The 26,043-nt window shown below is 38.9% G+C and overlaps 1 protein-coding gene and 1 long non-coding RNA gene across 18 annotated transcripts in view; one reads left to right on the top strand and one right to left on the bottom strand.

Moving 5' to 3' along the window:
- Window positions 1-26,043, top strand: part of ST7 (suppression of tumorigenicity 7) — a 276,676-nt gene that overhangs the window by 93,949 nt on the left and 156,684 nt on the right. The gene's annotated exons all lie outside the window — the stretch shown is intronic.
- The window catches only part of ST7-AS2 (ST7 antisense RNA 2), a 73,521-nt gene continuing 72,100 nt past the window's right edge, over window positions 24,623-26,043 (bottom strand). Inside the window, exons 4-5 of the long non-coding RNA NR_109980.1 lie at window positions 25,005-25,691; window positions 24,623-24,912 (exon numbers count right to left, since the gene is read on the bottom strand). This is a non-coding gene — a long non-coding RNA (ST7 antisense RNA 2). The remainder of the gene's footprint in view (window positions 24,913-25,004; window positions 25,692-26,043) is intronic.

The raw sequence follows: 26,043 nt of genomic DNA on the forward strand, positions 1-26,043 counted from the left end.
GGAGGGCCCTTTGATATGGTATTCACATGATATAATTATATTTAGAGAGTCCTCTAGGAAAATTTTAGAACCATGCAAATGTGCATGTCTAGCTGCAATCCAATTTTACATTAATCTAGTGTCTAGCCGTTTATACTCTGTGCATTGTTAGATAGCTTCCTAGGCTGGCAATAATTAAAGGGTTTAGATTAAACAGATGTAATGTGAAATCTGTGACATTTGAGGCTAGGTTAGCTAGCTTAATACCAGGTGTTTGGAGGCTGGGGATGTTTTTCGTGGTTATAAGTCTCCATGCCAAATTTTTATTCTAGAAATTGGCCTGAGAGGGCATGTTGAGAAATCGAATGCAGAAGTAAACAATGACTTCAGAAATCAGCTTGGAAGTCAGGGATTTATTTTCTATGTTGTGCACTATTAATATACAGTTGACCCTTGAACAGTGCAGGGGTTAGGGATGCTAACCCATGTGCAGTCAAAAATCTGAATATAACTTTTGGCTCCCACAAAACTTAACTACTAGTAGCCTACTTGACTGGAAGCCCTACTGATAACCTAAATGGTCAATCAACGCATATTTTGTATAAGTATTATATACTATATTCTCATAATAAGAAAATCATAAGGAAGAGAAAATATATTTACTGTTCATTAAGTGGAAGTGGATCATTACAAAGGTTTTCTTCTTCATCATTTTCATGTTTAGTAGGCCGAGAAGGAGGAGGAAAAGGAGGAGTTGATCTTGCTGTCTCAGGGGTGGCAGAGATGGAGGAGGTGAAAGGGGAGGCAGGAGAGGCAGGGACATTCGGTATAACTTTACAAAAATACATCATAATTTCTGTCTGAATTTTTGCTTTGTCATTTATCTAAAAATATTTGTATATGATACAAATTTGCAAGTTTCAGCGTCTGGATCATAGAATGGTCCATGTTGTAAAAGAAGCCCAAAGCAGTCTTGAATAATCAGAATCTTCTGGTAGATTATCTAATGTCAGTTTGTTTTCTGGCATTTTTATGTCTTCTTCATCATTTTGCATTGGTTTGGAAGCACTCATCTTTATCCAGTTGCCTTCTGTTTTATTCCTCTGGTGTGGTGTCTATTAGCTTTTGAATTTCTCCAAGATCCATATCTTGAAACCCTTTACCCACCCCACCCCACCTGCTCCTTTTTGCCATATCTGCGGTCTCTTTCATGGTTTCCTTGATAGGCTCTGTCGTAAATTCTGGGAAGTCATGCACAACATCTGAACACAGTTTTCTCTAGCAGGAAGTTATTGTTTCAGGTTTGGTGGCTTTCACTGCTTTTTGTGTAACAGTGATAGCATCTTCAATGGTATAATCCTTCCACACTTTCATTATGTTCCCTTTGTTGGGGTTCTCCTCATAGCACTGACAGTCCTTTCCATAGAGTATTGTGTGTAATGAGCCTTAAAAGTCTTTATGATTCCATGATCTAGAGGCCGAATTAGAGACACTGTGTTTGGAAGCAAGTAGACCACTTCATTGTCCAATATCGAAAGAACTTTTAAAAGGCAGTCTTTTATTGACAGGTACTTCCTGACTTCAAGGACAGAGCATTGATGGAACCAATCCAGAAAAAGGGTTGTCATTGTCCAGGCCTTCTTGTTGTAAAGTTAAAAAACTGGCAGCTGGTGTTTATCTTTTCCCTTCAGGGCTTGGGCATCAGCAGCTTTATAGGTAAGGGCAGTCTAGGTCATAAACCCAACTGCATTTGCACTGAACAGTAGAAGTCGCCTATCTCTACCTTAAATCCTGGTGATTCCTTCTCTTCCTTACTAATGTCCTTTGTGGCATTTTTTTCCCAGAATAGGGCACTTTCGTCTACATTGAAAACCTGTTCAGGTAGGTATCCTTTCTCTTCAATTATTTTCTTAATGGCACCTGGGAACTCATCTGCTGCCTCTTGGTTGGCAGAAGCTGCATCTCCTGTTATCTTGACATTTCTTAAACCAAACCTCTTTCTAAAATTATAAAACCATCATTTGCTAGCATTAAATTCTCTAGCTTTAGATCCTTCATCTTCCTTTTGCTTTAAGTTGTCGTGTAATGACATCACTTTTTCTCAAATCATACTATAGTCCACAGGTATGCCTTTCTTATAGCAATCCAGCACCCACATAAAAGCTGCATTTTCAATAAGAGATAAAAAGATATTTTGCAAAAAGTGCATGTGTTTTGTGTCTGCTGGCATAGCTGTAGTGACAGCTTCATGAATTTTGTTTTCTTTGTTTTACAATGATTCTTACTCCAGATTCATGTATCTCGAAGTGGTGGGCAACCACAGCTGGAGACCTCAGTCACATATCAAGCAGTTCACTTTTTTCCTATAATGTCATGACTTTTCTCTGCTTCTTGGGGTCCTTTCCAGCATCACTAGTGACACTTCATATGGGTTCCATGGTGTTATTAAAGATTTACAGTATTGTACTAAACGTGATGAAAAATATGCCAGACCTGGCCGGGCCTGGTGGCTCAACGCCTGTAATCCCTGCACTTTGGGAGGCCGAGGCAGGTGGATCACGAGATCAGGAGATTGAGACCATCCCGGCTAACACGGTGAAACCCTGTCTCTACTAAAAATACAAAAAAAAAAAAAAAATAGCTGGGTGTGTTGGCAGGCACCTGTAGTCCCAGCTACTCGGGAGGCTGAGCCAGGAGAATCACTTGAACCCGGGACGTGGAGGTTGCAGTGAGCTGAGATTGCACCACTGCACTGCAGCCTGGGCGACAGAGTGAGACTCCGTCTCAAAAAAAAAAAAAAGAAAAAAAGAAAAATATGCCAGACCTGTGAGAGATCACTTACTGCTGTGATGAGCAATTCACTGGAGAGACAGACTGCTCCCATGGAGATGATTAATGTCACATGTTGTTTTAAGCCAATCCTCCAAACAAACTCATCTCAATAGCAACAGAAGTGGCTACGAAATTATTACAGTAGCACAGCATGCACTACAGTTAATTTTATACAGTTCTGATTTCATCCTGCATCTTTACAATTGTTTACATTTCTCCTGACTGCGGATGGTGCCATGTATGGTCTGTGTTTGTGTGTGTAGGTTTTGATAAATTTTAACTTTTTATAATTTGTGTATATTTTATGGTAGTGAATGATATATTTAATAGACTACCGTCTCTATATATTTTACACATTCATGACACATACCTAACTTAAAAATTCTGAGGCCTGGTGCGGTGGCTCACGCCTGTGATACTAGCACTTAAGGAGGCCGAGGCGAGTGGATCACGAGGTCAAGAGATCTAGACCACCCTGGCCAACGTGGTGAAACCCCGTCTCTACTAAAAATACAAAAATTTAGCTGGGCGTGATGGCGCACGCCTGTAGTCCCAGCTACTCGGGAGGCTGAGGCAGGAGAATCACTTGGACCCAGGAGGCGGAAGTTGCAGTGAGCCGAGATCGAGCATCTGCACTCCAGCCTGGCGACAGAGCGAGACTACGTCTCAAAAAAAAAAAAAAAAAGAAAAGAAAATATTTTCAGGCTATGCGGTTTGAGTTTTTCAAATTTTTGTAAATCTCCAAATTTTTTTTCCAATATGTTTATTGCAGAAAATTTGCGTATAAACAGACCTACACAGTTCAAATTTGTGATTCCAGGGTCAACTGTACTTGTAGAAATACCACAAATTACAAATGAAACAAAGTATTCTTCCTTTCATTAAAACTTACTGTGTTTAACTGCTAGAATTGCAACAGTGAACAAGATGGAAATGGTCCCTTCTGTCATGGAACTCATAGTTTAATGGATATAGCAGACAACAAACAAATAGGCAACATATATGTATTTACCTAATAGGGTGCAGAGATCTAGGCTAATTGGTCTCTTAACACAGCTAAGGTGGTCAGAGAAAGCCTTTCTGAGGAGTTGAGATTCAAGATGTAGGCTTCCAGGAAGTCAGGCTTGTGAAGGAAGAGCATTACAGAGAGGGGCTCAGCATGTGCAGAAGCCCTGAGAGGGAAAGAGCTTGACCTTTGCCTGTTCAGAAAGAAACAGAGGCAAGGGCTAGGTCACACAGGGGCTCATATCCATGGTGTGGAATCTGGGGTTTATTCTGAATGCATGGGAAGACACTGAAGAGTTTTAAAACTCAACAGGGTCTAATGTTTGTATTATATGGAAAGTGGACAGGAGGGAATAGATAGAGCAGGAGTGGAAGCAGGAGGCCGCTAGGAAGTCCTTGTGTAAGATGAGAAGTGATGGTGGCCTGGACTAGAATGGTCAAGGTGGAGAGAGAGGGAGGATTCATTCAGATCATACTTGGATGGTAGAACTGATGGAGCTTGTTGGATTGGGTGTGGGGAGTGAGGGAGACAGAGAAATCAAGGATGATTCCCAAGTTCCTAACTTGAGGAATGAGATGGATGGGAGTGCCATTAGCTGACATAAATTATCTGAAGGAAATAGAGAAGGACATGCAACAAAGGCCAAAGGAAATTTGAAGGTTGGCAACCCTTAGCAGAGTCTAGCCACCCACATGTTTTTATTCCCATTCTCTTGCTTCTTACCAAAATAAAAGCTTTTCATCTGCTGCAGACTCTTTGAACACAGTGCAGCCTCTGTGTCATCAATAATTTATGCAGTGTTCTCAAGTAAAAGCGTTAGTGTCCAAGGCCTTGTGATTCTGATCTGGTTTCCCAGAAATATTTCACAGGGCAGATATGAAAGAGAAGATTTAAAAACAAAAAAAAAACTCCATCACTTATTGCTGTGGTGCAATGTAAAGGGCCATAATTAAGTTATCCCCAGCATCATTCTCCTTTTTGTAGGTATGTATTTCAACTAGAAAGATTATCTTTCCTCCAGGACCTGTTGTACTAGCGCCTGAACTCTATTTATGGGGAACTAAACAGGTTGATAAGTTTTGCTTTCAGCTGATTTTTTTTTCTCTATGCACCACCAGAAAGGATTTTAGAGTTATATCTTTGCAACTTTCAGTCTGACACTGGTAGTTACTTGTTTCAGGAAGGTGATTATTCTCATCAGGTATTATTCTTTTAATAATAACTTTTTTTGTTATGAATAAAATATCTTCACTGTAGACAAATTGGAAAGTAGAGAATTTGTACACAATCACTTACAATCCCAGTGCCAAGAAGTAACATTCTCTTCCAGTCTCTAAAAAATCTAGGGCCAGGAGCAGTGGCTCACGCCTATAATCCCAGCACTTTGGGAGGCCGAGGCAGGTGGATCACGAGGTCAGGAGATCAAGACCATCCTGGCTAACACGGTGAAACCCCGTCTCTACTAAAAATACAAAAAATTAGCTGGGCGTGGTGGCGGGCGTCTGTAGTCCCAGCTACTCAGGAGGCTGGGGCAGGAGAATGGCGTGAACGCAGGAGGCGGAGCTTGCAGTGAGCTGAGATCGCGCCACTGCACTGCAGCCTGGGCGACACAGCAAGATTACATCTCAAAAAACAAAAAAACAAACAAACAAACGAAAAAATCTAGTCAGTGTGTTGCTTCATACTTTATGTGCAATTTTATATCCTCATTTTTCTACTTAACATTCTGACTCTTTTCTGTATCTTATCAACTATTACTCAAAGACAACATTTTAAATGGCTATATGATATTCCATTGCATGGAATACTTAATCATTTTCCTGTTGTTGAGCATTTAAGTTGTTTGTTGTTCTTCGTAGAGAAATTTTAAATTAAGGAAAAAAAGCCAGACAGTTTTTTACAGAGCACATTGTTTTAACGAAACAAACTAAATTTTCTACTCAAACCAAAATAGTTTGTAAAAACCACTGTCTACTCCAGGCAGCTATAGAATAATGATCAGGGCATCAGAACAATTGCACTAAAAACCCTAGTCTCCTGGCAAGCCATTTCCGGGCTCTCAACTCTTACAGTGTTTTTCGATGCTCTCGAAGGTGCCAGAGTTAAACACGGACTACTCTTGTTAGGGAAGTCAGCTCTGTTACTCACGGGGATCTTTGCCCTCCTCCTTTGAAGCTTTTCAGCATTTCCATTTGTTGCTTGTACCTCTGGATCTTGCCTTGCAACAATGACTAGAACTAGGGAAAGATAGGGACAGCCCTCTTACCACAGCTTTGAGCTGCCAAATTTGAGCTGCTTTATCCTCATCCCAGCCCTCCACTGTGCCAGTCCCTTGGGTCTCAGCAGGCCACCTCCTTCTGGCCACCCTTCAGTCAGCAACTGTTGATTGAGCAATTTCCACATTCCAGAAACTGGCTAGATGTTGGGAATAGGATGGTCAGATAGATGTAGATGCTCTTATAATTTATGATTGGTGGGAAGTAATTATATGGGAGGGAAGATAGAGAGTTATGTATGGTGTGGGAGAGTGATGTACTGATGTTCTTCATGGGTGAAGAACAGAACAGAACAGAGGACTAGACGGTTTTTTTTTTTTTAAGACGGAGTCTTGCTCTGTTACCCAGGCTGGAGTGGGATCTCTGCTCATTGCAACCTCTGCCTCATGGGTTCAAGTGATTCTCCTGTCTCAGCCTCCCGAGTAGCTGGGATTACAGGCATGCTCCACCAGGCCTGGCTAATTTTTGTATTTTTAGTAGAGATGGGGTTTCACCATGTTGGCCAGGCTAGTTCCAAACTCCTGACCTCAGGTGATCTGCCCACCTCAGCCTCCCAAAGTGCTGCGATTACAGGCATGAGCCACCGTGCCCGCCGGTCTAGACAGTTTTGACCTTAGCTAGCTTTCCCACACTCTGAGCACTCTCTACTTACTGTATTTTAAAATCTGTGCGCACACCCCTTTAGGTATGATCTGCTTTTGTTAAAACTGTAAAATAAACACAAAAGAACACAGCCAGTGAAGTGGAGGCATTGTTCAGTAAGGTTGTGTCTCTCTACTGGCCTCCATTCTTGGAATTGTCAAGCTGGTCTCCAGTGTTGCAGCACAAGTCTCTTAAAATCCTTCAGAGATCAGGAACTGCTCTTTCTTACTGCTGTGCCTGTGACACAATGCGTCGCACATGCATCCCGGAGGTGGAGGTGGGTAGAGTTGAGCTGGTAATTTACTTAGGAGGTGACATTTATTGTTGAGTTTTCCTCTTCTTCTTCAAAGGACACCATGAACACAGAATATAAGTGAATTCTGCCTTTGTTAGGCCATTCCTTTATCACACTTTGTCTGTGCTATAAATGTGCTATGCTTGAGGTGTGGGCTTTGGTTTTTGGTTTATTTGGTAATATGACAAATATGTCTTCATGGGTGAAGAACAGAACAGTTTCACCTAAGTTCTACGTGAGCATTTCCCCAGCACATTGTTTTTTTAAAAACAACCAGTATCTGACAGATGTTTGTCACTGAACTCTCTGCTGGACATGCCAGGAAAATGCAGCAAATACATTTGGATTTCAGTAATACATCCATCTCATGATATTTCTTTACAAAGATGAAGAAAGGGCTACATACAAGGAAAAGCAGATGAATTAGGAATATTAGGCATTGTGTGTGGTGGTAATGTGGTATAGGGAACCCCAGTCATGCATTCATTGGTTCTAAGTTAACATTTTTCCTCCACTTCTTATTAAATACATGGCCTTGGACAATTTAATTGAAGTAATCAGAATTATGTATAATAGTGATTAATAGTCACCCAGTAATTGCTCAATTACTAAAAAGTAATTCACTATACCAAGGATTCAGTTTGATTGATATAATCCTCTGTGACATGTGGGTACTGTTGTTATCTCCCAATTTATTTATTTATTTATTTTCTGCTCCTTAATTTTTTTATTTTATTTTTTAAGATGGAGTCTTGCCTTGTTGCCCAGGCTGTAGCGCAGTGGCATGATCTCGGCTTACTGCAACCTCCGTCTCCTGAGTTCAAGCAATTCTCCTCCCTCAGCCTCCCAAGTAGCTGGGATTACAGGTGTATGACACCACACCTGGCTAATTTTTTGTATTTTTAGTAGAGACAGGGTTTCGCCTTGTTAGCCAGGCTGGTCTTGAACTCCTGACCTCAGGTGATCCTCCTGCCTCGGCCTCCCAAAGTGCTGGGATTATTCCCCAACTTATACATGAAGAAACTTAGGTGCAGATAAATTGAGTGAATAATCCTAGATTGTACAACTTCTCTTTGCTGGACCCAGGATTTGCACTCAGGTCATTGTCACCAATAACCTGTGCTCCAACCACTACACTCTGACCTTTAAGTCCTTATTTGCTCAGTTGGGAAGTGGGAATTTATTTATCTGATAAAATATTAGGTGCTTTTGGTGTTCATATTTGGGTAAATTACAAGTCTCCCCCTTTCTGGTACTATTGCTTCTTTTTATTGAAACTGGCAGTAGGACTTTTTGTTCCGGCTTAATTAACCAGGTGTATTAGTCAGGGTTCCCTAGAGGGACAGAACTAATAGGATAGATATACATATATATAAAGGCAAATTTATTAAGTATTAACTTACACGATCACAAGGTCCCACAGTAGGCTGTCTGCAAGCTTGAGCAAGAACAGCCAGTCTGAGTCTCAATACTGAAGAACTTGGAGTCCAATATTTGAGGGCAGGAAGCATCCAGCTTCCTGAAAGATGAAGGCTGGGAGTCGAGGCCAGTCTTGTTTGTCTTTTCACGTTTTTCTGCCTGGTTTATATTCACTGGCAGCTGATTAGATTGTACCCACCAGATTAAGGGTGAGTCTGCCTTCTCAAGCCCACTGACTCAAATGTTAATCTCCTTTTGCAACACCCACACAGACACACCCAGGATCAATACTTTGCATCCTTCAATCCAACCAAGTTGACACTCAGCATTAACAATCACACTAGGTGAGATGGGAAAGCTGTGCCAGGTGATAAAAGGGTTTTTGTGCAGTGCTGCTGAGTATATTTCTTGCTCAGAGTTGTGAGAGTTACATGAGATTAAAGAAGATAAAATAGGCCAGGCATGGTGGCTCATGCCTGTAACCAGCACTTTGGGAGGCCGAGGCGGGCTGATCACCTGAGGTTGGGAGTTTGAGACCAGCCTGACCAACATGGAGAAACCCCATCTCTACTAAAAAAAATACAAAATTAGCTGAGTGTGGTGGCACATGCCTGTAATCACAGCTACTCGGGAGCCTGAGGCAGGAGAATCACTTGAACCCAGGAGGCAGAGGTTGCAGTGAGCCAAGATTGCACCATTGCATCCAGCCTGGGCAACAAGAGCGAAACTCCGTCTCAAAAATAAAAATAAAAATAAATTAAAAAAAATAAAGAAGATAAAATAGAAGAAAGTGTAAAGTAGAAAGGATCTTACACAAAATCTTTACACAAGGATCTTGAAGAAATATAGCCAATCTATTGACTTAAAAGCTGAGTAAAATTTTACTACATTGTAATTGTTCATAAAACACAGGATCAATATGAAAATAGGATTTGTAATTCTTAAGTATTTCCCTTTTTTGATAATTGGCTTCCTCTTAAGAATTATGATGCTCAATTACACATATAAGAGATTACATTTATAAGAGATTCCTTTACATCAAGGTCACCCTGAGGGAGGATTCTCTTGGTGTATTGAAGGGTCCTAGCTCTGATCCTGCCCATTTCAATATAGTGTCAGTATCTGAGATACAGTCGGTGGTTATCTGTTTGTGGATGATCTAAAGCTGTAGATTTAGTTTTCATTGAGTCTTTATATTTTTTTCTCTAATGATTTTGAAAGGTAGACTATTTAAAATGTAATTATTTTAAATTGTGGCCAATTTAAAGGTTTTCATATACATACTTAGAGCTGTATTTCATTACCTAATTTATGTCATTATACTTATGTATTCAAGTAGAATAACTCCATTTATTCTTCATATATCTGAAAGTGACTTTCTTTTGCCAGCATCTTTGAGTGATAGCTAACCCAGTATAAAACTAAAACTAGATTTGAAAATTCCTTAGGTCAAGGACTGTTTCTTTTGTTACCCTGTTTTTCACATGGTGCTCAACCTTATGTTTGTATATAATTGATACTCTTTCCATATTGTTGATTCGTTGTGAATTTTTAAAAATTAAGAGCTAAGACTTAGGAAGTTTTAAGATACTTGTTTACATGCTGTGAGTTAGGGCTTCTCCTAATAAGAGATTGTATGATTGAGTTATGTGCTAACGTGTTTCTGCTTGATTAGTTGACTTCAAGTGCTCAAACACAGCAAATAATTGCCCAATTGAAGATGTCTAACATTATTAGATATTAAGCTATTTCAGACCCATACTAAATCATCCATTTGAATATAGTACAAGAAACTTCTTTATTGGGACTTATTTTTCCTCTTTACAAAATACCTTTGAAAAGAGATAGTGATATAGTAGAGTGAGGGAACCTGAGTTCCTTGACTATGTAGTATATGAACATGGGCCTGTCATATTAATTTTCTGGGACTAACAATTTGTACTATTAAGTAAAAGTTACCAATCAAAATCCCTTTCTATTTTTTTCAGTTACCACCTGTAAAGTCTGGTAGTTATAGTAATCCTACCTGAGTGGGATGTTTTGCAGAACCTCAGTTGTTTCCACTCCTCTGACTTAGGATAATGACTGTTTCTTGTGTGGGGGCCACAGATGCCAGGATTTAGATATGCTATCATTAGAAAGCAAACTAATTTTTCACAGGTTTCTACTTTTTAATTCTTTATTGTTATATTTGCTAGTGAGTGTCAAGAGAATCAGGAATATTGATTAACCTGTGTGAATGAGTAGTTGGAAACACATGTGCTTTACCTTTTGGAACTCAATTGTTCTTTAGCCAGTCAGGTTATCTATCTAAATAAGATAGGGAATTCAGTAACACATTTGCTTTGTGCACAAGAGCGGTTATTTCCTATAATGTTTGTATGATGATATTTTTTATTTTTATTTTCCAGTGAAATATAAACATGATTTTTTAAAGCTTTATCTGTCTTTGGAAATTAATGATCAGTTTGCATAAAAGCACTTGATCTGGAAAACTTCAAATATGTTCTATTTAATACCATCTGCTATATATCTTTTCTATTGGTTGTTATGGAGACTTATTTTTCATGAAGGGACATGGTGCTGCTTTACTTGAAGATTGAATTTGCTTTGATTTCATAGTGCATTATGGTAAAATTGAGCATCATAATTCTTAAGAGGAAGCCAATTATCAAAAAGGGAAATATTTAAGAATTATAAATCCTATTTTCATATCCATCCTGTGTTTTATGAGAAGTCACAATGTAGAAAAATTTTACTCAGCTTTTAAGTCAATAGATTGGCCATATTTCTTCAACAACTACTGTGTGATGGTATCAAAGAAATAGCAGATATACTGCACTCCCCTATTTATTGTAGCACTATTCACAATAGCCAAGATTTGGAAGCAACCTAAGTATCCATTGACAGATAAATGGATAAAGAAAATGTGGTACATATACACAATGGAGTACGATTCAGCCATAAAAAAGAATGAGAGCCTGTGATTTGCAACAACATGGATGGAACTGCAGGTCATTATATTAAGAGAAATAAGCCAGGCGCAGAAAGAGAAACTTCGCCTGTTCTCACTTATTTGTAGGAGCTAAAAGTTAAAACAGTTGAACTAATGGAGATAGAGAATAGAAGGATGGTTACCAGAGATTGGGAAGGTGGGGACACGGGGATGTGGAGATAGTTAATGGGTACAAAAAAAGAAAATAGAGTGAATAGACCTAGTATTTGCCAGCACAATGAGGTGACCATAGTCAAATATAATTTAATTGTACATTTAGAAATAACTAAAAGAGTGTAATTGGATTGTTTGTAACACAAAGGATAAATGCTGGAGGTGATAGACACCTCATTGACCCTGATGCCTGGTATTACACATTGCATGCCTGTACCAAAACATCTAATGTACCTTATAAATACATATCTACTATGTACCCACAAAAATTAAAGATAAAAAGAAATAGTAGATATAATTTCTGCTTTTGAATAGGTTATTATTTAAAAAGAAAATAGTGGTCAAGGCAAGAAATATGTCTTTGCCTATTTGATATGCTAGAATGGACAGAAATAATGGCAAAGTTTCATTCTTGTGTATGTGTGAGAATGTGTTTGTGTATGTAACATATGGAATTTCTGGCATATATATGGATATATATGAAATTCCTACTAATTTTAGAGGTATAGATCTAAACTTGTTCTGGAGTTGAGAATTATGTCATCCCTCAGAGACTATATTTCACAGAAATACTGCTTCTGGTCAGAAGTACTGTGGATCTTAATATTAAATCAGATTCTTGGCCAGGCACGGTGGCTTTTGCCTGTAATCCCAGCACTTTGGGAGGCCAAAGTGGGAGAATCACTTGAGCCCAGGAATTCAAGACCAGCCTTTGCTACTTAGTAAGACTTCATCTCTGCAAAAAAAAAAAAAAAAAAAAAAAAAATTAGCTACGTGTGGTAATGTGTGCCTGTAGTCCTAGCTATTTGGGAGGCTGAGGTGGGAGGATCGCTTGATCTCAGGAGGTTGAGGCTGCAGTGAACCAAGATCGCACTACCCCACTTCACCCTGGGCAACAGAGCAAGACCCTGTCTCAAAAAATCAAATTCTCATATACCAAGTAATTGTTTGTTTTCTTTTAATATATTCCTGACCTTGGACTTTACACCTCCACCATTTTTAGGATTTGTCTGATTAGCTTTTAAAATTTTGTTCTGGATTTTACAGGGTTTGATCAGCATAACCAGTTGACACAAGTGCAGTGGGATCTTTTGGTGGGAAAGTCTGGGGGTACCTGAGGCACACAGACCTTGGGTGGGGCTAGACACTGGCTGGTTAAAGAATAAGAGTCTATGGGTAATGGAGATCAAAATAGGCCTGAGAGCTACAGAATCAGTTGCAGAATCAGTTGTAAAGGAAATGTGGAGAAGGCAAGCAGAATATCAGGTAACTCATGACTGCAAAGCCGTAATTATAGAAACATTTCGCTTATACAGACCCTAGTGTTTAACTTCAGTGTTCATTGAAGAGGAACTGGTATGTAAGTGATGCTACATCAACATGGCACAATCTTATCAAGTCATTACAATGAAAAATATGAAGACTAAATGCTTGACAAATACATTTAAGGTGTAATGTTAAATAGAATAGAACCCACAGTGTGATTTCAAGGATAATAAAATTGTGTGAAAGCTAATAGTCAATAAAGTAATTCTATTAAAATGATAGTTTGCAGGGTTTTAAAAATAATTAAAATAATGTTTTTCATATATATCAATTTTTTTCTCAATCCTGTGATTACCATGAGATAAAATAATGTTTAATATAATATTGCCTGGCCAGGCGTAGTGGCTTACACCTGTAATCCTAGCACTTTGGGAGGCTGAGGTGGATGGATCACCTGATGTCAGGAGTTTGAGACCAGCCTGGCCAACATGGTGAAACTTGGTCTCTACTAAAAATACAAAAATTAGCTGGGTGTGGTGGCGGGCGCCTGTAATCCCAGCTATTCAGGTTGTTGAGGCAGGACAATCGCTTGAACCTGGGAGGCGGAGGTTGCAGTGAGCTGAGATTGCACCACTGCACTCCAGCCTGGGCGGCAGAGTGAGACTCTGTCTCAAAAAAAACAAAATATAATATTGCCTTTCCCATAAATAAATGGGAAAATAAATCCAATTCCTGCCCTTTTAAAGACAATTAAAAGGAGTTTTAGGTCCTGCCATTTTAAAGACAATTAAAAGGAGTTTTAGGTCCTGCCATTTTAAACACAATTAAAAGGGGTTTTAGGTCCTGCCATTTTAAAGACAATTAAAAGGAGTTTTGGGTCTCTGAGATGTGTGGGCTGTGGGGAATCAGATTGGCCATTTGGCTTTTTTTCCTGCAGTCTTAACCACAAAATTGAGCTCTAAGGATTCCTACACTAAATGGGGAAGCAGGAAGAGCAAGTCTTAAAAGATTCAAGTCCATTGGCTCACCCTTCTCACTGGCCAGCCTGCTTAAATTTATTTGAACCTCACTTTCTACACTTTTGATTGGGGTAGGGGAGGGGTAGTAGGAATAATTTATGATGCTTTTTACAAGTAATTTGATGCAAATTATTTATTATGTAAAATAATTAGAAACCCAGAGAACATTTATGTAAATTATCTGAATCCCAGTCTCAGTGATAAGAAAAACTTAGATGTAAATGTTCTACTTTTCAGAAGACCAAAGGGCCTGAATTTTATATCTGTAAAGGCACAAGGGAAGAATATAAATTGAATTAGTAATTAAAGGAAGGTCTGAATCCACAGACATAGCAAAGATGGAGGATTATATATATATAAGGGTAATAGAGAGGGACACTGACATTAAAAGGAAATGTGTAGCCATTACTGTGCCAGAAAAAGAAAAGGAACAATATTTATATTGGTTGTCACTTGGAAAATTAATATGTAGGATGAAGCTTAAGAATCTAAGCACATTTTCAGATTATATTTCTGGATTGTCCTGATTCAAAAGGATAACTTGTGTGTGACTGATTTGATGGTATATGAGTCAGAAGCTCAGGCTGCCATAACAAAATTTCATAGGCTGGGTGGCTCAACAGGAATTTCTTTCTCACAGTTATGAAGGTTGGGAAGTTCAAGATCAAGATGCCAGCTGACTTGGTTCCCTGGTACAAGGTCTTTCTTTCTGGCTTGCAGAAGGCCACTTTCTTGCAGTGTCTTCACAGGGTGAGGGGGGAAAGGTGGGAGAGAGGGAGAGAGGAAGACAGCAAGTCCTCTGGAGTCTCTTCTTATGAGGGCACTAATCCCATTATGAGGGTCCCTTGGGCGCTTCTCTCATGACCTCATCTAATTCTAATTGCCTCCCAAAGGCCCCATCTCCAAATACCATCACATTAGGGGCTACAGCTTCAACGTAAGAATTTTGGAGGAATGCAATTCAGTCCATAATAGATGGTAATTTTGCCAGCAGGTACCCTATCTTATACTTTTTCAGCCCCTAAGCAGGGAGCTCATTCTAATTGTAGCACATGTGCTCTCATGGAGATCAGAGTCAGTATTGTTTGATTAAAGGTGGTAGCTTACTAATCTTTTACTCACTGTGATATGAAATTCAATCATACTTTCGTAGTAGTCTATGGAATTTATTTCAGTGAGCTGGTCTGTTAGAATGCTAAGCAGCAGTAGCAGTGCCATTCATGTGTTTATTTTTTTCCCTTTTCCTTTTCTGGAACATTATATTTAATACATGTTAAATTTTTCTAAGATACAATAAATTTATGAGGTCTCCTTAAAAGATATAATCATTAATACAATAGTTTATCATGGGTAAGTTAAATTAAATGTAGATTCTTCATAGGAAAAAAGTGAATGTTTATGTTCATCTACTCTGTATGTCAAACATTGGATAGAAAAATGGTACATCCTGAACTTGGCTAGCACTCCTGTGACCAACTCAGTTTGTCTATTCTGTGCCAAAATAATGGGTTAATTCTGCCATTTTAGTTGGAATTATTAGTGCCTTAATCCCCCTACATAGTCAGATACAGTGGAGCATAGGATGCTGGAAACTTTCCTTTAGTTTTTTACATCTTTCAAGTAGAAGAAAAGAATGTTAAGAAATCCCTTGGTTTTGACCTTTGCAGATGCTCTCATTAATCAATAGTGATATTTTAAAGAATTGATTTTTTTAAGCATACGGATATTGTCCTATAGACAGAAAAATAATCAAAATCAAAGATAAAACTGGAAATAGAATCTTGTTTGCTTTTTTGTTTCTTTGCTTTTGTTTTTGTATTTCACTGTGTTCTTTTTTGAGGTCCTAGACAGAATTAAATTAGAAATCTGGGTGATAAGACTTTTTAAATAATATGACTGATGATTTTATGTGAATTATAAAATATAGTTCCAATTCTTTTTTTGCTTTAAGCCCAGGACAAAGATTAAATGTTTTCACAATGATAAAGCTTTTGTTTCTGTTCATTTTTGTTTCTTTCAATTGATAGGACATGGAGAAAGATTTTTGCATTTATGTTTGTATAAAGTATTTCAGGGCCAGGCACAGTGGCTCATGCCTATAATCCTAGCACTTTGGGAGGCTGAGATGGGCAGATGACTTGAGTCCAGGAGTTCAAGACGAGCCTGGGCACTGTGGTGAAAGCCTATCTCTACAAAAAATCCAAAAATTAGCTGGGTGTGGTGGCATGCACCTGTAGTCCCAGCTACCTGAGAGGCTGAAGTGGGAGGATCATCTGAGCCTGGGAGGGTGAGGCTGAAGTGAGCCGAGATTGTACCACTGTACTCCAGCCTGGGCAACATAGCAAGACCCGGTCTCAAAATAAAATAAAATAAAATAATTCCATCTGCTGTTTTCTTGGTTTTATATCTCTTCCTATAGAAGCATAGTTAACTTGCTTCTTTGAAGGTAGCTGAATTTTTAAAAACATACACTAACATGGAAAATACCTTTGGTACTACATCTTGGGGACGAAATTTAATACCAGTATGTGCCATTTATAGCAATTCCCGACAGGCATTACTTATACTAATGTGTATCAGTGTTCTTGTATGATTTGAAGCACAATAATTTTCAGAACATTAAATTTCTATTTAGGGAAATAATTAGATTTCCTCATATTTCTTCAGTAATTAAATAATAGCTATGACAACACAATATAGCATTTATTTAAAGGCATTTTCTATTTTATTACCTTTGGTTTTTTTAATACGGCATTTTATTCAACAAGAAAAAGCTACTACCTTTTTCTATTGAAGATAAACATTAAAATTTATGGGACAATATACATGGGAAAAGTTTTTTTTCTTTTATATTATCCTACTTAACATATTGTAAATAAACATATATTCTTTTGCTTTTCTTTTAGTTAATGCTTTCTTAGAAAAAATTTAATAAATGTGATGTAATTATTATGAAAAGTCAGAAAAACATTAATGAAATATCAAGGTAATTAAAAAACTACTTCCCTATGCTTCTGTCAGGGGCTTCCAGCAAAGTCTCAAAAGATTTTGCTTTTTTCACAACTGTTTAATTAACTTGAGAAAAGTCCCAAGTGTACCCTTATTACAAACATCCTTCAGAAAAGTGGTGACTATGATGTGTATAGTGGTGTCTTCACCAGCAGCAGGACCAACGTGTTGGGGTTTGCAGGTGAAATTTGACTGTAATTTATTTACTTCAGTCAAATTTTAATGCTGTAATACAGATAATTTTGTCATGAACTTTGCCAAACTATCTCCTAAAACCAATTCTCTTATTTGTTGCTTCATAAAGCTGTTTTATAGCAAATGTATACTGTTCTTCTTCAGGTCTGTACATTGCCTGGTCTGGGCTTCTTTAAGGAAAAGCTTTCTCTTAAAATACTGTTTGCTTCCCAGAGATGTGTCTGTAGGAGAGGATTCACCTGCAAAAATTTTAAGAGTTTCCCGGGAAGTGCGTGCCATGGAACAGGAGTTGATGGATCCCCACTGTGTTCTCTACAGGCCATCGTATATTGAAGCAGCTTAATTTATCCTCATTAAAACAAAACACACCTTGACCTTAAAGGGGGAAAAATGACTAATCTCATTGTGTATATTGTTTTCCTTTGGGTGTATCTCTTAAACTGTCTAACACTTATAAGCACACTGCCTGCAACTCTGCAGTCACTTTCACATATATTAAGACAGTTAAGTCTTAGAGTAACCTTTGAGGAAAAGGTATTATTCTAACTATACTGATAAAGAACTGAGACTCAGTGAGGAAGCATTTGCCAAGATTCTATAGCAAGTTATGAATAAAACTAGGAATTTGAGGGCTTTTTGGTTCAAGTCTTTTTTTTTTTTTTTTTTTTTTTAGACGGAGTCTGGCACTATCGCCTAGGCTGGAGTGCAGTGGCACGATCTCCGCTCACTGCAATCTCCACCTCCTGGGTTCACGCCATTCTCCCGCCTCAGCCTCCCGGGTAGCTGGGATTACAGGCACCCGCCACCATGCCCGGCTAATTTTTTTGTATTTTTAGTAGAGACGGGGTTTCACCGTGTTAGCCAGGATGGTCTCGATCTCCTGACCTCGTGATCTGCCTGCCTCGGCCTCCCAAATTGCTGGGATTACAGGCGTGAGCCACTGCGCCCGGCCTGAAGTCTTTTATGGTACACTTTATACCAGTTCACTCTTCCTTTTGTATTCTATCCAGTGCAGGCTGCATATATAGAGCAGAATAGGAAGGAATTCTGCCTCAAGTCCTTTTTATTTCTGTGTATCTGTCAAGGTTGTTAGAATCTCTGCGATAGCATAATCCAAGTCATTATTATATTTCCTTCAGAGCACAGCAGTGGCCTTCTGACTGTACTATGCTCCTCACCTCTCAGCAGCCAGTCATCTTTTTGAAATGTAATTCAGATCATGCCATCCTTCTGTTCAAAAACCGTCAGTGATTTTCCATTGTACTTAGAATAAAATCCAAAGTACTTATTTTGGTCTTCAAGACCCAGCACGTTCTGGCTCCTGCTTACCTCTCCCTCACTTGCTCAGTATCATCTGACCATGGTTCCTGAAATACCTTAAACTCTTCCTTGCCTCAGGAACTTTGCACTTAAACTTTCCTTTGTCTGCAGGTCTTCAAGTTCCTTAAATTCTTTGACTCCCTCCAACTGATCCTTCAGATTTCAGCCCAAATGTCATTTCCTGAAGAAATACATTCTCCTACTTCCTAAACTAAGTCCTCCTGATTTATTCATGTTTTTTCTCTCTCCTGACATTTATAATTTGCCTTTATACTCATTTAGAAATAACATTTAGCAAGCCCTTCCAGTGTGCCAATCACCTGCCTTTAAACCTTATTTGTAGATGAGGAAGTAAAATACTTTCCCAGATTCCCACAAGTGTTGAACCAGGGTTTAAACCCAGGTTTCCTCAACAAAACTATAAACTCTGGGAAATAGACCGTGTCTATGTATTATTGTAGCTCCAGTGCCTGGTATTTAGTTGGCCCTCAACAAATAGATATTGAACAAATGAACCTGTAGCAATGACTTTTTTTTTCTAAATAGCTTTATTGAAATATAATTCACATACAGCAATATCTGCCCTTTAAAAATGTGAGATTCAGCCAGGCGTGGTGGCTAACGCCTGTAATCCCAGCACCTTGGGAGGCTGAGGCAGGTGGATCACGAGGTCAGGAGTTCGAGACCAGCCTGGCCAATATGGTGAAATCCCATCTCTACTAAAAAATACAAATATTAGCTGGGTGTGGTGGTGTGCACCTGTAGCCCCAGCTACTCGGGAGGCTGAGGCAGGAGAATCGCTTGAACCTGGAAGGCAGAGATTGCAGTGAGCCGGGATCATGTCACTGCACTCCAGCCTGGGCAACAGAGTGAGACTGACTCCGTCTCAAAAAAAAAAAAAAAAAAAAAAAGTGGGATTCAGTGGTTTTTAGTATGTTCACAGAGTTGTGCAACCATCATCACTATCTAATTTTAGAGTATTTTCATCACCCCAGAAAGAGACTCTATACCCATTAGCAGTTACTTTCCACTTCCTCTCACCATTCTCTGGAAACCACTAATCTACTTTCTGTCTCTGTGGATTTGCTTAGTCTAGAAATTTTATATAAATGGAAGTATAAAACATTTGGCCTTTTGTGAATGGCTTCTTTCATTTAGCCTAATGTTTTCAAGGTCCATCCATTTTGTAACATGTATCAGTGCTCCGTTGCTATTACTATTATTTTATTATATGGATATACCATGTTTTATTTATCCCTTCTTCACTTGGTGAACATTTGGGTTGTTTCTACTTTTTGGGCTTATGAACGATACTTCTCTGAACATTTTTATACAAGTTTTTGCATGGACATGTGTTTTCAATCCTTGTGAGCGTATACCTAGTAGTAGAATTGCTGGATCATGTGATAACTCTATCATTTACATTTTGAAGAACTGCTGAACTGTTTTCCAAAGTGGCACAATGACTAAGAAAACCAGAGCTTGACAGCATTTAAAGTAGTAAAAGCAGATTTTATTCAGGACTATTGCAGGAGGGGAAAAGAGACCCCAGTATAGAACTGAGCTTGGTTCTGAGTACAAGGAAAAGTAGGGGTTTTATAGCCAGGGAGCAGGGTGGGTAGGTGTGTGTCAGTGGATTGAAAATTACTGAGAAGATAAAATGACCTAACAGGAGTCTGGCTGAATATGGGCCAGAGTGATGAGCTGTCTCCTGGGGGATGGTTGGGGTTGGGGAATTTGGTCAGATTTTGAGGGTGACTAGAAGGGTGGGAGATTGTGGCTAAAGATTTTTGCAATAATTGGACGATGCAAAGATGGACACAAAGTTTAAAAGTTGAGATCTACTTGGGAAGAGGATTTTGAGGAGCCTGACTAAAGTTTGGTCAAAGACTCATACAATCTTTGTCAGACCCAAAACAGACAATTCAGCTACAGTGCTTTGTCTCAACTTTATGAGCAAGGATGCTTCCCTTAAATTCTCTTAAATTCTACACAGTGACATTTCATTCTGCATCCAGTGGATATTTGTTGACATGGTGTTGGCTGAGCTGGGATATAGCCTATGGAGAAATTTCATGAAGCTGGCAAAGCTCCTGTTATTTTCTATTTCATGCTTACATATTAGTGTTTTGTTAGGTTGTTTTTCTTTTTCTTTTTTCTTTTAGATCTACACGGAAAGATTTGGCAGGTCTGATAATTTAGGCCTCTGGAAACCTCAGTTATGCTATAAAGAGTAAAGGGCAACATCATATGTTATTGTAGGGTTCACAGTTTAGGATGCTTGGTCTTATTTTGGTAAATACTATTTCTATTATAAATGCACATTTCAAAAATAATGAATCATATATTTTTCTTTTTTTTTCTTTTTCACTATTCTTTCATTTTATAAGAAGCATTTCCTTTTTATGTCTTAGGGTAGGTAGTGGCTCCAATCTAGCACTAAGTTGTTTTTATTACTATTATATTATTTCACTTACCGAAGTACAGAGTAATTTGTTTACAAATTAACTAGCAATGGCTAAGAATGATTTAAACTTTCTCACAAATTGTTTCATCCTACGTTTTTCTACTTTACCACCACCTATCTGCAGTATGTTACACATCTTCAATTAATGCAAATTCAAAGTTATTTTTATAATTGAGCGGTGCTCCTGAAAATAATTGGCTGTCCTGGGGAGTTGGAAATCCAGAGTTGTTCCTTACTCTATTAGAAAAATGAAGTCTTCCTTTTAGTGACTAAAACAGAGCTTCCTAACCTTCACCAAGGTTAACTGCATCCTTTTCTGTGCAGTGAGCAGCTGACGTGGTGTGCCAGCTCTCATTGTATAGGCTTTTATCACAGGAAGTAGATTCAAATGATTGTAATTGCTTGGGTTACATTAATATTCATGGCACATGCCTCTTACCTTACATGGCACTCATTCTCTGTGTATTTAATTAATATGCCATTTTGCCTTTCATTTTGGCATGGGGAGCCATGATTTTAGAGGGTGTGAAACAGCGAGCAGCTGGGGAAAGAATGAATACCCAGAACCCAGTGCCAGGATTAACATACTGATGCAGATATTCTGAGAAGGGATCTTTTGAGGCAGGTTAAAAGGAAATGCCAAGTGGAACCAAAGCCGACCTTGCACTAGCACGTGATACTAGTCAAGGAGGTGCTTGGCTTCACTCTGCTGCATTTTGCTCTTGGATTGCCAGCTGCTTCAAGCCAGCTGCTTCAGCACAGCTAAAATGAAGGAAAGAATATTATCACTATATATTTTGTATTTGAAAATCTGCTGGTAATTTCAAAAGCTTAGAATGTTGACAGTAGCCTGTAGATGAAAATTTAAAACTTAGTGATCAAAGTATCATATCCTTCCTCCCTTTGCAGAATTATTTTTAAAAGATTGTGGCTTGCCTGTTTGGACAATTTTCAGAACACAGGGGGAAATCATTTTTCACTTTTTATTATAATATGATTAGATGTAATTGAATTTTAGTAAGTACATTGCAACAATGAATTTCAATGGGCATACAGTATAACTTAAGTTTTCTGGATGTAGATTTTGCAGAAAGAGGAAGTAAATACTGGAATTTAAATGCCATTTTCCAATGGACATTCCAAATAGGAGCTTGATACGTAATTCAGTTTTTCCCTTCTGCTGTCAGTTGTCCCATTACATCATAAACTTGATGTCTAGCAAGAGACAATATCACTCCTTTTTGTGTTCCTTTGGTTGATTATTAACTGGAAGATCCCCTTGACTTGTTACTTCTGTGGAGACTTTGGGTGCTCATCAAGAAACAAGTACTTAAGAGCTTTAGTAATTGATATGAACCCACCAGGTGCATGTAGAAGCACAGTTTGGTTTATGGGTTACCAGAGTGCCCCTGTTGAGCTTTGCTCCAGGTCCTACTGTATATTTTAGGCTCTTCCCTTCAGTTCAGTGCTTCTCAAAGGCCCTAGAGACAGAGATAGGAACGGATGCCCTTGGCAGCTGGACCACAGGCAAAAGCAGCTCACTGCTGAAACACTGTACCCTTGAAGTCCTTTTAAATTAGGTTAATTTTGCACTTTACCCTGCAATATATCCGTGATTACTTTAATATAAAACAGTTAATTTTCTAATCACCAAATGAAATTGATGCTCTAGAAAGGCATGGCATGTTTAAATTGGGGCTTCTTGATGTTATATGTACCTGCTTTGGAGAATCGTGGACTTAGTGTGGCTGTAGGGAAAATTCTTTTAGTCCTTTCTTTGAAATGGACCTGATAGATACAAATAACTTTCAGGACATTTGGTGATGGAATTTGGTTAATTAGCAGCTTGTTTCAGCTTTCTACTCTGAGTGTTGTGAAAAGAGGCCAGACTTAAAGTCCAGTGAGTTCAAGACCTGGTTCACTATTAACTTGTGATGTTGTACAGTTTATTAACATCTTCAGGCCCATTTCTCATCTGTAAAAGGAGACGATGAACCATAAAATATAAAGCACCATTTTCCAAATTATATTTTGTGAATGATTACTTGCAAAAGGTATTCTAAGGGTGGTTGTCAGGGAATGGGAGGAGGGGGAAATGGAGAGTTGTGATTTAAAGGGTATAAAGTTTCAGTTTTGCAAGATGAGAAAGTTCTGGAGATTGGTTGCACAACCATGTGAGCATATTGGTTTTGTTTGTTTGTTTGTTTGTTTGTTTTTGAGACAAGTCTTGCTCTATCGCCCAGGCTGGATGCAGTGGCGCGATCTCGGCTCACTGCAAGCTCCGCCTCTCGGGTTCACGCCATTCTCCTGCCTCAGCGTCCGGAGTAGCTGGGACTACAGGCGCCCGCCACCATGCCCTGCTAATTTCTTTTTGTATTTTTAGTAGAGACGGGGTTTCACGGTGTTAGCCAGGAAGGTCTCAATCTCTTGACCTTGTGATCCGCCCGCCTCGGCCTCCCAAAGTGCTGGGATTATAGGCGTGAGCCACCGCGCCCGGCCAATGTGAGCATGTTTAACAGTAGTAAATTGTACACTTAGAAATGATTAAGATGGTAAATTTTATGTTATGTGCATTTTTTGTGCATTTCACCACCATCTAAAAAACTATATTCCAGCCTGTAATCCCGGCACTTTGGGAGGCCAAGGCGGGTGGATCATGAGGTCAGGAGATCGAGACCATCTTGGTTAACACGGTGAAACGCCCTCTCTACTAAAAACACAAAAAATTAGCCGGGCGTGGTGGCGGGCGCCTGTAGTCCCAGCTACTCGGGAGGCTGAGACAGGAGAATGGCGTGAACCCGGGAGGCGGAGCTTGCAGTGAGCCGAGATCGCGCCACTGGACTCCATCCAGCCTGGGCGACAGAGCGAGACTCCGTCTCAAAACAAAAACAAAAACAAAAACAAAACAAACTATATTCTAAAAGCTCCATCTTTAAATAAATACTAATTTGTATTACACCCTCCTGCTAGAGAATGACACTGCATTCAGCATATCCAAATGTCTTAGACATCCTGCACTTAAAAAAAAAAACTTTTAAACTTTAACCCAGTATTTCTCAAATTCCTTCTCCCAATTAATTTAACATTTAATATTCTATGGAACTTACACTTGAAGGAGTCCCATTTGGGAAAAAGTTATCTGGGATCTTTCCAGCTCAAACATGTTTTTATTCTTCAAAGACACCATATGAAAATATGGGCTTTGCCAAAGTAAGATATTTGATAAATATTAATTCAGGCCTTCCGAACCTTTTCCATATCATGGCATGTATAGAAAGTAATATTTGTATGGCACACTGGGGTAAACTGACAAGGTGGCTTAGGGCTGAGGAGTGCGGTAACTCAGTTACACCCTTGGATAAAGATCTCTAACCAGGTGTTTAAAAAGTTATCACTGAGGAAGCTGCATGACATAGCTTGTTCTCCAGATGTCATTAGTTAGCATGTTTACACAGAGAAGCATTAGAGGCAGATCATACAAAACTCTATGCTATTTGGTTTGCCTTGGCAGCAATTTATTTTCCACTTTAGAGAAACCAGAAACTCTTCTGATTACCTATGGCTGTGGATATTATTGGTCATTAGACCTAACTGGCAATCCCTCGTGGTATAAGAGTGAGGGATAAGAGGTTTCCAGGAGGATAATACTCTTCCACAGTCTATTTAATATACTCAAATGATGAATTCAACAGCCTCCTATTTTTAAAGCGAGAGCATATATCCTAATGTCATAAGCAGAATAATTCTCATTTAATGGGGGAAATTTTTTTCAACTTCACATTTCCTAGAGGAACAAGTATTTGGTGTAGTAATAGGGATTGGATGTGGGAAGAAAAGGACATTTATATTAATACATTCTTAAAAGAAATACAGCATAGATCAGTGAGTGAGATCAACATTTGTCACGCCTCAGGCCTTTTTCTGAAGTCATCTTCAGCCCTTCCTCTCCACTCTATTCCTCAGTTGGTATCATTCTATAGTATCACATCTTCTGAATGGCTTACTTAAAGATTCTAGACTGATGGAAAAAAACAAACAAACAAACAAGAAATTGATTAGATTTGACAACGACCTACATCATTGTTCAGTTAGTATTTTTATTCAGCTCACCTAGAAACTAAGCAGTCATGATCCACTTAGTAACAGATGTTTTGATTTCAGAATTGCCAGGTCTTCCCCAGATTATCTTTTGTACTTACTGTCATTTTCCCCTTTAAACAACTTTTTTTGGCCTTAGTCTTTACTGTCTTTTCTGAGAATCCTATTAGAGTTTAAGATTTAAAACTAGATGTAGAAATACATCCTTGCTTAGTGTCAGGGAGCCACTGTGAAATCCCATTGACAACCTATTCTGGGCTTTAGAGCCAGAAGTTTAATTACCACCTATTGAGCGAGTTTGATTTGTCACTTCTTGGGTTCTGGCCAGGCAGAGCTAATTCCTCCTAGCAGAGCAAGGTCGGTGGGCAGGAGCCAGAATTGAGAAAGTGACGCAGTCACTTCAGCTTGTCCAGCTTCAGGCGTAGATGAAGGGAGTTAAGTGTGCCAGATTAAGTCCAAAGTGGCACACAAGCATGAGGGGCAATAAGGGCACCTGGTAAACCACAGCAAGAGGGAGTCTGCAACTAAGAAAGGGGGAGTGTGGTGACTAGCAAGGAGCAAGCGCTTGCAATTTTCAGAAGTCCAGGCAAGCTGTGCTGGCACCAGACAGGAAACATTGCGGCTGCGCTTCAGTCAGAGGCTGGCTTCAGCCTTTGAAGGAGACTGACAGGGGGTATTAAGTAGTTACTGGAATGAGACCTGTAAAAAAGGCAGAATAAAATCAGTAATAACAACTGAATAATAACAACTGAAGAAATCAATAGACTATTTAACCACATCTGTAGGCCTCTACACAATCTAGTACTGTGGAGTATTAAATGAATGAGATAGATTTAGAAATAAAAAACCATTCATGGTATATTAAGGAAAATTCAAATCATAGTATATTACATAATATGTTAGTGAAAGGAACTTTGGGACATGGTAGTGTAGAACTCTGTTCAGATGAATGACACAAACACCTTAGGCATACTTTATAGGGACAGATATACTTTGTTTGCCTTTTGTTTTCATCCATCTATCCTGAGGAAGGTCCACAATTATTGAATAA

The sequence above is a fragment of the Homo sapiens genome, chromosome 7 (assembly GCF_000001405.40).
Source record: "Homo sapiens chromosome 7, GRCh38.p14 Primary Assembly".
In the NCBI taxonomy this organism is placed as follows: domain Eukaryota; kingdom Metazoa; phylum Chordata; class Mammalia; order Primates; family Hominidae; genus Homo; species Homo sapiens.